This window comes from Homo sapiens, chromosome 3 (genome assembly GCF_000001405.40).
Source record: "Homo sapiens chromosome 3, GRCh38.p14 Primary Assembly".
Classification (NCBI taxonomy): domain Eukaryota; kingdom Metazoa; phylum Chordata; class Mammalia; order Primates; family Hominidae; genus Homo; species Homo sapiens.
The window spans coordinates 17,397,484-17,409,915 of NC_000003.12; the positions used below are offsets into that span (position 1 = coordinate 17,397,484).

The 12,432-nt window shown below is 34.7% G+C and overlaps 1 protein-coding gene across 65 annotated transcripts in view; it reads right to left on the reverse strand.

Annotated features, from left to right (window-relative positions):
- The window catches only part of TBC1D5 (TBC1 domain family member 5), a 585,470-nt gene that overhangs the window by 240,322 nt on the left and 332,716 nt on the right, over nt 1–12,432 (reverse strand). For all 65 annotated transcript variants that reach the window (XM_047449296.1, XM_011534283.4, XM_047449314.1 and 62 more), the window contains 4 exons: nt 8,935–9,043; nt 7,389–7,478; nt 7,211–7,285; nt 5,698–5,765 (listed from right to left, as the gene is read on the reverse strand). In XM_047449296.1, coding sequence (XP_047305252.1) covers nt 5,698–5,765; nt 7,211–7,285; nt 7,389–7,478; nt 8,935–9,043 — 342 coding nt within the window. The remainder of the gene's footprint in view (nt 1–5,697; nt 5,766–7,210; nt 7,286–7,388; nt 7,479–8,934; nt 9,044–12,432) is intronic.

A 12,432-nucleotide genomic window follows, 5' to 3' on the forward strand; every position in this document is an offset into this window, starting at 1 on the left:
ACTGCAGCCTGCCAAGTAGATGGGACTACAGGTGTGTGCCACCATGTCTGGCTAATGGCTAATTTCTGTGTTTTCTGTGGAGACGGTTTTGCCATGTTGCCCAGGCTGGTCTCAAATTCCTGGGCTCAAGTGATCCTCCTGCCTTGGCCTCCCAGAGTGCTGGGATTGAAGGCATGAGCCAACACACCTGGCCCAAGAAAGCTGCATCTTTAAAAACTCACCATGGAGATACAAGTAAGAAAAAGAATAATTAAATTATGAATGAGCTACCTAAAATGTTAACTACAATAACTAGAAATACAAAAGATCAAATATTGAAGATGATAACAGCATATCAATAGGCAATCAGATAAACTTTTAAATATGGTCAAAGTTACAATTATAAAAGTCAGTTAAAGAAATTTAATCATTTAATTCAAGAGAGGGAAAACACATTTGAAGAAAAGATGAGACTATTTGGCAATAGCTTATAAATATGTTAATCTGCAAATGATGTTATAGATGCTGCATATATATTTTTAGAATAGACCTTGATAGACCAAATAACATACTTCTTTGGCATCTAATATGGAAATGATATTTTATCGTGAACTCACTATTTCCACCATTTTAAATAATACTGAATTTCTTTTAATGTTACAGCTTTTGAAACATGGCAACATTTGTTCAGAATAGACAATTCAAGTTCTAAATTAGAATGCTGTAAATGGAAATTCCTTGATTTACCTTTTGATTATCAGTTTTTTCAGTAATAAAAATGGGAATAGTAACAACCTCATTAGGTTAAGATAAAGAACAATTAATTGAAATGATTGCAAAACGCTTTGAGGCAAAAAAGGGTGACATAAAGGAATATTAAAATTGGCTGAAGAGGAAGATAATATTTAATACAGTGACGTATCCAGATCAAATAAATTAAATAATGATGGCAGAATCACAGCTCATGAAATCAAATTATCTTGTTTAAACTCATACTAGAAAGTTGATAATATTATTTTTTGAAGTGTGCTTATGTCTGTGAAAATTTAAAGATGTTTGAGATAATTACTAAAATTGAACAACACTGATCATCAGTGATAAGATTCACAATCAATGATCATTTATTAAGCATCAACTTGGTGATAACCAGTGAGACAAAAACAAGACTAGGTCCATGCCTTCAAAGGGTTTACTACTAGGTTTGAAAGGTAAGATCTGGGCTAACACAAGAGCTCTTGTACATACTGCTTCTCTTAATGACACCAATAATCCTGCATTGTAATTTTTTTTTCCTGTTTTCTCTGTAAGCTTCTTAAGGGTCCATATCACATTTATCTTGGCATCTCTAGTGCCTGGTACACTAAGGAGATCAATATAAATGTATTGAATACACTGACAGATGGACCTAAATAAATAAAAGACCAAACAAAATTAAATAATATTAAAAAGTTATTAAGAAAATTCTATAGAACACAGACTAGGCACAAATGATTTCCAATTGCCAAGACTGGAAAATGTTTCATAAACTTGGGTGATGAACTCAGGCCTTGAATGGTTAGCTGTTAGGAATCTAACAGGAAGCAGAGGGAAGCAGCATTCCAGCAGAGGAGAGCATGAAAGATTCCAAAACATTGAAAATGGAAAGCACAAAACCTGTTCATTGAATAATGCCAGAAGCACTTGTCTAAAAGGGAACTGGGTATGTATTAGAGAAACTGAGTAAGTCCATTCTTCTTCAGGGCACAGGGAGTCATAGAAAGTTCTGGATTAGGCAAATAGAGTGATTATAAATCTGCTTTGAGTAGAGTGATTAGGCTGTTAACACATGGAATGGACTGGAAGTGGAAAAACACTAGATCCCAAGAAAACAATTAAACAAGTAAGTGACTGTGGGCAGGAGGTAAAAAGGATCTGAAACAGAGCAGTAAAAACGGAACAGAAACTTATGAATGTGAGAAAACTACACATAATGATCCCCTAATTTGTATTTTGAAACATAAAATACATATCCCCAACCCATCTACCTACTCCTGTCTTTATTACTACATTTTTAGTCTAATAAATCGCTAACATTACCTAACTTGAAATACTCCAATAGACTCCTAGTTGCTTTTCCAGCTTCCATTCTTACATCCACCTTTGCCCCACTGCACAGCAGCCATAATTATCTTTGTAGGTATCATGCCACTGCTCAATGTCCTCCAAAAGCTTCCTATTGCAATCAGAATAAATCTTTACTTTTTACTGTGGTCTACAAGACTGTCCTGGCCTTTGCTCTCCTCTCAGATTTCCTTCTCTAAAGCACTTGCTCTAGCCGAACTGACTTCTTTTTGCTCCTCTAAACACTGAGCTCATTTTCATTGAGAAACTAACCTTGCCCTAGCTACTCCCTCTGTCTACATGTTCTTGCCCTAGTTCTTCAGATGTCTGGCCTTTAAATTTTTTCACATCTCAGCTCAAATGTCATCTTCTCAAAGATGTCTTCTCCAATCACTATTCCTAAAGTAGCCATCCCACTGGCTACTCTCCTTCTAGCTATCTAGTTACTCTGCCTTATTTCTTCAGAAAAATGATCACCCTCTGTAATTATTCTCTTTATCTATACATGCTTACTGTCTCACCACTCTCCCCGACACCACACTAAAATATACAACCTGTGATGGCAGCATCCTATCTGTGTTATTCACCACTCCACTCTGTCCCCCACAGTGCAAAGGGCAATTATGGAACATAGCGATGCTCCATAAATATACATTTTTTCAAAAATTCTTATCACAAAGCTAGAAAACAAGTAACACTTTATAACCTTATCTGGGCTGTACTTCTTTTATATTATTAGGAAATTCCTCATAGACTGAAATGAAAATCATATATTTTAGATCATATAGTACCTTATAAAGATGTAAACTAAATTTATACAAGCTATTCAGCTTTTACAATTAAATAATTTGGTGGACTTAAAATAAGACTAACCGCCTTACCTCACAAGCTAAGTATTTGCCAGAAAATTTATATAGAAATGACAAGGAGACTTAATCTAAATGTGGAGAGAGCCATGGGAGAGTCTTCAAGAGAATAAGATATGGAACCCTCCTGTGATGGTTAATATTGAGTGTCAACTTGATTGGACTGAGGGATGCAAAGTATTGTTCCTGGGTGTGTCTGTGAGGGTGTTGCCAAAGGAGATTAAAATTTGAGTCAGTGGACTCAGAGAGGCAGCCCCATCCTCACTCTGGATGGGCACCATCTAATCAGCTGCCAGTGTGGCTAGAATAAAGCAGGCAGAAGAAGGTGGAAAGAGCAGGCTTGCTGAATCTTCCAGCCTTCATCTTTCTCCCACGGTGGATGCTTCCTGCCCTCGAACATCAGACTCCAAGTTCTTCAGGTTTTGGACTCTTGGACTTACACCAGCAGTTTGCCAGGGGCTCTTGGGGCCTTCAGCCATAGACTGAAGGCTGCACTGTCGGCTTCCCTACTTTTAAGGTGTTGGGACTCGGACTGGCTTCCTTGCTTGTCAGCTTGCAGATGGCCTATTGTGGGACTTCACCATGATCATGTGAGTCAATACTCCTTAATAAACTCCCCTTTATATATACATCTTTCCTAACAGTTCTGTCCCTCTAGAGAACGCTAATACATTTCCCTACTATTCTATCAACTATAGGGCCTCCTAGCTACCTTCTTTGGGTCACTGGTTTGCCATTTTAATTAAAATCAACTAGTAGAGATACATTTTAAGAAAAACACTGTATGTGTGTGTACATACACACACACACATGTATGTGTATAATATACATATATATGTATGTGTATAATACACATATATATGTATGTGTATAATACACATATATATGTATGTGTATAATATACATATATGTATAATATACATATATATGTATGTGTATAATATACATATGTATATGTATATGTATATGTATATATGTATCTGTGTATATATCTTGCATTTTTGTAAGAAAAAAACAGAAAATATAGAAGTTTTCAAGAACTAACACTTTCTTACATAACAAAGCAGAAATGTTCGAACTACGTAACTAAAATGATGAAAAAATTCCCAGTATCACTGCCTGTTTGGTGTGGCTATCAGAGGTTTATTTTCCCCCTTTCTTGTTTGCTATTTCTTTAAGTCAATCTGGCCCCCATGGCCTCTGACTCTGTGACTCGGCACCAGCGCTGTGGCCCCTTCATTTACATTTGATAACTGTAGAGAGATTAATTATAATCCTGCTCATTAGACAGATCAATCTGAAGTTGGCAAGTTTTTAAATATAACTACCTAGCATTTTTAAAAAGGGATGCCTTTACAGTTTAGTTAACAATATATACTGCACATTTTGTTTTTAAAAGGCCTGTTTACTACCACTGATTAACTATATACTTACTGAGGCAACTCCTTCTTTTGTTTTATTCAAATATTTACTGAGTACCAGGACTCCTGTGTGCTAATACAATGGTGCTCTACTTTCTGCACCTATATACTAGGGAGACCAAGCACTATCACCCATACCTCTGAGAGTAGCTTCCCTAACTGGGTTACTCCTGAGTTAACTGGATAACTCAAGCTAACCAAAATCATCCCAAACTTCCCACCCCATACCCTATTACCACTGCCAATTACCTGTGGTTTCATTTACTCTAAACCTGTGATTCCTCTGAATTATTTTCATTTTAAAGAAATTGTATTTGTTAAATATGTACTACAAACTTAGTAGTAGTTCATGTCATCTTATTATTCAGTATTTATAACTTGCAAAGAAATGAATATCAGAGAGCGAGAGGCCTTGACATTATAATAGATTTAGCAGGAATTGAACTAGGAGTGGAGCACACAGGCAAAGCTGCAGAAGTACTTGGAAGAAGCCACCAGAGATACTCACGATTCTGCACATACCTGGCTAATCCCAGATCCTAAGGATTACATTAAGTTTACTAACATTTATATAATGATTTATAGTTTAAAGTATAAACTTATCTAATTTACTATTCTGACAGATATTAATTAATCCTCAAATATCATAAGAGATGATTACTATTATCCCCATTTAACACAAGAGGAAACTGAGAGGGAAAGATGTTGAAGTAATTTTCCCACAATTACAGCATCCGTTAGTTACGACTCTATGATCTTCTGACACAAATTCCATTTACTCCTCACCCTATGACTCAGTCGAATATATCAAAGTTATGGACATTATGCTAAGTAACAAATTACCCTTTTATATAGTAAATACTGAGTAGATTGAGAGAAGAAATTGTTTGCAAACCTGAATAGCTTCAAGAAGAAGAGAAGTGAGGATAAGAATAACAGTTGTCATTTAACAAGTTTTAACAAGTAACTTGGTTAGAAAGGGATTCAAATGCATAAAGCAAGGGATAAATTTTTCTGGCAACAAGACTATACAATATAACCTTAAATATGACTTCAAATAATTGTTGGAACTTGATAAAACTAATTAAATATTATTGAAGATTATCAATATTATAAATGTAATTTACTTTTAAAAAGGGAACATAGAAATGTGTATCATTAGAGTAGAAAACAATCCTTATTATCACAATTTGTCAAAACAAGTTTGTTATTAACACAAGTAGAATACTGCATTCAATTAAGTTGACTGCAGATTTTGTGTTTTGTTAAAATTAGAAAGAGATAACAACAATTTGAATTATTGAAAGTAACATGTAAATAGTTCTACATACGTTCTTTTGACATCTTGTTCAATCATTGATCGAAGTTCTTTATCTTGGAAGAATTTGTTCCAAAGACTCTGAAATAAGGAAAACAATCTATTATATAGTCTCACACCTTTGTTTTACTTTTAGTGATTTCAATTTAATAATGTAAATGGTTAAAATTTATTCTTCTCTGAGATCATTTCACATTGCAGATAGAAAACCTGAGACTGGGGTAATTTTTATTAAAATCTAATTTAATCTCAGAAACACATCTTTATTCTAACATCAATTTTTCCAGTTTGATATTATCATATAAAGTCAGCCTTCCTCATCTGCAGGTTCCACAACAAAAATCCAACCAACTGTGGATCAAAAATATTGGGAAAAAATTAAAAATAGCAATACAACAATAAAAAAATACAAATCAGAAAAACAGCACAGTATAACAACTTTATTTAGCATTTACAATCTATTAGGTATTATAAGTAATCTAGAGATTATTTAAAGTATACAAGAGGATGTACACAGGTTATATGGAAATACTTATGCCATTTTATATAAGAAACTTCATCATCTGCAGATTGTAGTGCCCATGAGGGGCCTGGAACCAATCCCCTGTGAATAATGAGAAACTAGTATATATTCTCAAAATTTTTATTATCTATATAAAGTGAACAATACTTTTCACTGCCATATGCTACTGCTACTACCCCTGTAACAACAGAAAGGTGCTTGGATTACAGCAGGACTCATAGGCCAACTGTCCGCAGCTTGAACCTGACCTGAATTCCCAATGCACTAAGAAAGACGGGTTAAGTTTTTCTACAGAACTTGGTTTTATAATCCAGTAGGTTTTTATGTACATTTTAAAATGTGAATTTAAGGGAAAGTTTTTAAAAATTACTTAATATTTTATGTTCTTATACCGAAGAGTCTATAAATACTTACGTATTGGGAAAGAGGAATGCTAACACTATGGATTAAATGGAAAAAATGTGCTTTTAGGTAAATAGGCAAAAATTAGAGCACTCATACTTTTAAAGTTACATAATATCTTTAAAGTAGTAATCCTTGTCTTCACTGGAATATGAATAGAAGTAGACCTGATTTTTTAAAAACTTCTTCATAGACTCACTACAAAGGGTTACTTCTTTCTTCCTGCGAGTTAGCCCTACTAAGTGAGCCCTTCTTTATTTTCACGACGAAGGGAGGCTTTCCTTAGCTACCCAATTCCCCACTGCAACCCTGATAAAAGTTTTATTCTCATCTTTATGGTCTTATATTTTACCCTTAGTTCTTACAGAATCCCGAGATTTCTTGGTACTGCCATTCCACAGAAATAGATCATAAATTTTCTACAACACAGTATATATATGTAATGTAAAATCATTTCTACCAGGTTTTAGGTGGTACTGTATGTGGAATAAAGAAAACAGTTAGCATGAAATATATTGCTTTCATGGTGACTGGCAACCAGTCATATAAACATATTCTTAGCAGCAAAAGAGGTTAAGACATGAACAAAGACGAACTTTACCCCTTCATCCTGTGAAAGAGGATTATTGATCATCAAATCTTGTTGGCCAACAACCTTCCTCGGGTTGGTAATATGCTAGTAAAGAAAGAGAAAACACACACACAAGGATCAGAGGCTACTGGACTTTAAAGTGTACATAAGAAAACAATTACATTAATTAAATATACTATTTACTTACTATTTCTTTAATGTTGCTATACCATGCTCTTAATTCTTCAATTCTACTTATCCATTGACTTTTGTCTTGAGGAAGAACACAAAGAAATAGCTGTCAAGAAAAACAGAAGAAACTTTTGTAAAAATCTTAAGATATAAAATGTGAAACTATGCCAAACTGAACCACCTGAACATTGAAAGACATAATAGTCATGATATTTCATATTCATATCATCATTTCAATTCCTACCAATTTCTGTTTGGAGATATTTAAGAAATATATAATCAGAAAATTCAAAAAGTGAACAAAGGCCAAAAAGCAAGATAACAAAAGCTATACCACAAAATAGAATCAAGCTCCCCTTCAGATTTACATTAAAAAGGAAGAAAAATTCATTGAGGTTCAAATATAATTCACATTTTACATTCTAGTCTTAATGGGAGTGGTAAGGGGGTTATTAAGGAGCACAAAGTCTGATTAGTAATTGCTACATTTAAGGTTTTGTTTTAAAACAAGCTGGTAAAAGTTAGTGAACAACAGTCTCACTGAGGGCATAGCCTGAAACATGAAAGCATTCCTTTTACAGAAAAAAAATGTAATTTAAAGCTGGCAGTCAGCTTATGAAAATAACAAACAATCTTAAAATGACAAATTTGATTTAATTTAGTTTAATACAATATTAAAATAAATTTGGATTTAGATTTATTTTTAACAAATGAAAGATAGTAAAAGTTAACAGGGAATGGGGGTGGCGCACAAATACTTGTATACAAATACTCTAGCAGCAGGTCTCCTGCCTTTAATGCCTGCATCTAAAAGAAGAAAAGTGTATTTTAATTATTAAATCTAAATTATTGAACCTAAAACTGTCTAATACACTATGTGTTTTTGTCTTTACTTGCACAGACTCAGTATGCTTAATTTATGCAGATAACCCTAAAAACTTATGATAGAATTCATTCTAGAAATGAGTCTAAACCTAAATAAATTCATGTTTAGAAAACAAAAACAAATAATATTTCAAAGCAATTAAAAAGACAACTATAGATTATTATTACTAGTTTTGGTAATCAGTGGTCCTTTTCCTCTAAAGGAGAGTGATCCAATTTCCTTCCACTTCTTGCCACCCCTCACTACTAAAAGAAATGTGAAAAATATTTTCCAGCTGCCATTTATGAAGAAAAAAGGGAAGATAACTAAATGATGGTTTGATATAATAGGAACCTAAAAGTTAACCCCCGACCACTGCCTTTTCTTGCAAATCTTCAAGAATTTCTGCAAGAGCCTCTGGGGAGTGTAAAAGTGTTGCTCTGAATTTGGCACCATCAAAACAGTTGAAAAGATAGTTTTTTTATATGACTCTTTTACCGTTATCACTTACTCAGGACTAAGGTAGTTCAACCTTATTAGTAAATGTCCTATGAAAGATAAACATAGATGGTCAAAATAATGGGAGTGAAGTCTCTTGGAAAATTCAGTGATCCCCTGCATGGCTAATCTTCCAGGGCATCAGGTAATGTGTTGATATATTGCAACCAGAAACTGTAAATAAATATTTTCTTCTTACCTTCCAGCAAATGCTGCGGAACCTGCTGCTTCTCAGCTGCCCATTAATCCCCTTCTGCCTTATTGTTGCCAAGTAATTGTTGTTTACAAATAGTTCTTCCCATTCTTTCCTATATGAAAGAAACCAAAGCATGAGAATCCTTTTGTTAAAATTCCTCTGCTTGGAGAGAAGTTCTACGGGAAATTAATTTTAAGTAAGTCTAAAAAATGCAACTTTTAAAACATATATATTTAGTTGTGTACTGTTTCTGAACGCATGGCTGTCTTTTTGGACACAGTTCTTCCGTAGATTTAATGAATATGTAGATAGCTATAATTACGCCAGCTACTGAAATTCATAATGTCTATGGAGGCTATTCCATTTCCTCTAAAATGCTGATAGTACAGTTCAGTGAGTAAACAAGAAAAAAATGAATAATATATGACTCTTTTAGCCAATGACAAAAACATACCTGCTCCAAAAATATGCAACAAAGAAGTGTAATGTTGATTATATTAGCTTCTCATGTGAAATACCTCTTTAAATGATCCGATTTCTCTTTAATGTCAGGCTGGACAGTAAAGTATAATAAAAGACTACTTTAACTGTTAGTGCTGCTTACTACTGAAATTGCAACTTCTTTCTACATGATCAGTTTTAAAATTTTAACAGGTGTGGGCAAATTTGAAAAAAACATCAAAAAATTAAAAAGCCTCACTGTAAAAACTGTTAAAGGCAAGCTTGAGTACCTTGCAGTACCTATGGCTGAGTAGATAAACAACTGAAATATGCCTCCCAGGCATGCAGACACCAGGGGCCTAACACCTGTGCCTCATTAATATACAAGTAAATCTGCTCTACTGGGAAACAATTGGAAATTAATTGTCCCAAACCATTTACTGAGTTTGAATAAAGCAATTAGACCTATATTCCCTGCATCTTGCACCAAACTAAACATTAAGAATCACTTGAGTAGAGGCTACTGAGATTAGCTTTATGAAATTTCTCCCAAATTCCATCATATCACAATAAAATTTACATATAACTTAACATTTATTATCAAAGCTGAAACCCTGACGGCAATATCTTAAGAGAGATTTCTGAAAAAGAAAGCCACTAAAACCCTCAATCATTCTTCCGTTACACACATGTGCAGTTGTCACTGGCCAGACCCTACTTATTTTGAGAAAGGATAATCTTGCATACTATGCTTAGAGTAATGAACTGTACACAAAAATTTCAAAACTTGATCATGGGACAAAATGCATCTTCTCCAGAAAAGAAGTTCCAGAAGAGTGACCAAAGACAATGACACATTCCGTACTGCCACCAGCAGAACTTCCAGCTTTAACCCAGTAGCGTTGTGATCCTCAAACACAACAAGCCTTCTGCCAATAGTGGTTTCTGGCTAAGATTGCTAAATGAGACACACATTCCAGCCCATGCTGGAAGAAATGCATTTCTATCACCACTCCACAAAAATTTCTTATTCTCATCACTCTATTAGTTTAAAAAATCTGGCTTTACTTTAATTTGTACTATTAGTGAACTAAAAATTGTTCATGCTTTTGGGTCATTTTACTGCTTCCTTTGTAAAACCTGCTTTTTGCCCTTTGCCCGTTTTAAGCAGTACAGGATAGTGGTTAAGAGAATGGACATGAGAGGCACATGCTTGGGATCAGAAAGACAGCTGTGCAGTAAGGAAAGCTACACAGCTCACTAGTTACTTACTAGATGTGCAAGCATGGGCAAATTTCTTAACCTCTCTGTGCCTCAGTTTCCTCATCTGTAAAATGGAGTAATAACAATCTACTTAAAGGAATTATTATGAGAATTTCAAAAATACATGAAAAGCCCTCAGAAGACTATCCAACACACACACACACACACACACACACACACACACACACACACACACACTTTTTAAAAAAGAGACAAGGTCTCACTTGGTCATCAGGATGGAGTACAGTGATGCAACCACAGCTCACTTTAGCCTTGAACTCCTTGGGCTCAATCAATCCTCCCACCTCAGCCTCCACTGTAGCTGAGGCTACTCAGGAGGGACCACAGGCACACACCATCACACCTGGCTACTTTTGTAACTTTTTGTAGAGACTGGGTATTCCTATGTTGCCCAGATTGGTCTACAAAGGGCCTCAGTTGATTCTCCCTCCTCAGCCTCCCAAAGTGCTGGAATTAAAGGTATGAGACAGTGTGCCCAAGTCCTATACTTTTAAAAATTAATATTTTTGTTAATAATACTGCTTTTTAGTGTGCCTTATTGATTAAAGAGAAAAGTTTTTCATACATTAAAGACATCATGCCTTCATCAGCCAATTTTTTAACCCAATTGTCTTAATTTTCAATACATTGAAGCTTTTTAAATTTGTGTATAATTAAGATCTAACATTATTTTCTCTTATTGATCCTTTCATTGTTTTCTCTTGCTTAAGTAATTCTTAGCCACTCCAACATCAAACAAATATTCACTGAAATCTTGTGGGGCTTTTTTCCCCATTTTAATCCATTTTTATTACCTAAAATATTCTAAATATGTCCTATTTCCAAGTAGTTACGCATATATACTGATATCTCATAATGTTCAAATTTATTGTCTAGTTTTTAGCAATATTCAAAGATGAGATTAGCAATCAGTACATTACAGGAGTAGAGGCATACCTCATTTTATGTCACTTCATTTTACTGCACTTCACAGGTACTGCATTTTAATAAACTGAAGGTTTGTGGCAACCTTGCATTGAGCAAGTCTATCAGCATGTGCTCACTTCATGACTCTTGTGACATATTTTGATAATCTTCACAATATTTCCAACTCTTTCATTATATCTGTTATGGGGATATGTGATCAGTGATCTCTGATGTTACTATTGTAACTGTTATGAAGCAAAATGAACCACAACCATATAAGACAGTGAACTTACTGATAAATGTTGTATGTGTTCTGGCCATACCACTAAACAGTCCCTTGTCTCTCTCCCTCTCCTTGGACCTCCCTAATTAATAATGCTACAATGGCCTCGTACTGTTCGAGTGAAAAGAAGAGTCATAGGTCTCTTAATTTAAATCAAAACCTACAAATGATTAAGCTTAGTGAGGAAGGTACATCTAAAGCCAAGTTAGACCAAAAGCTTGGTCTCTTGCGCTAAACAGGTAGCCCAGTGGTGAATGCAGAAAAAAAAAAGTTCTTGAAGGAACTCAAAAGTGCTACTCCAGTGAACTCATGAATGATGAGAAAGCAAAACAGTCTTACCGCTGATACAGAGAAAGTTTGAATGGTCTGGATAGAAAATCAAACCAGCCACAACATTCCCTTAAGCCAAAACCTAATCCAGAGCAAAGCCCTAACTCTCTTCAATTCTGTGAAAGCTGAGAAAGGTGAGGAAGCTGCCAAAGAAAAGTTGGAAGGTAGCAGAGGTTGGTTCACGAAGTTTAAGAAAAGAAGCCATCTCCATAACATAAAATTGCAAAGTGAAGCAGAAAGTGCTGATTGAGAAGCTG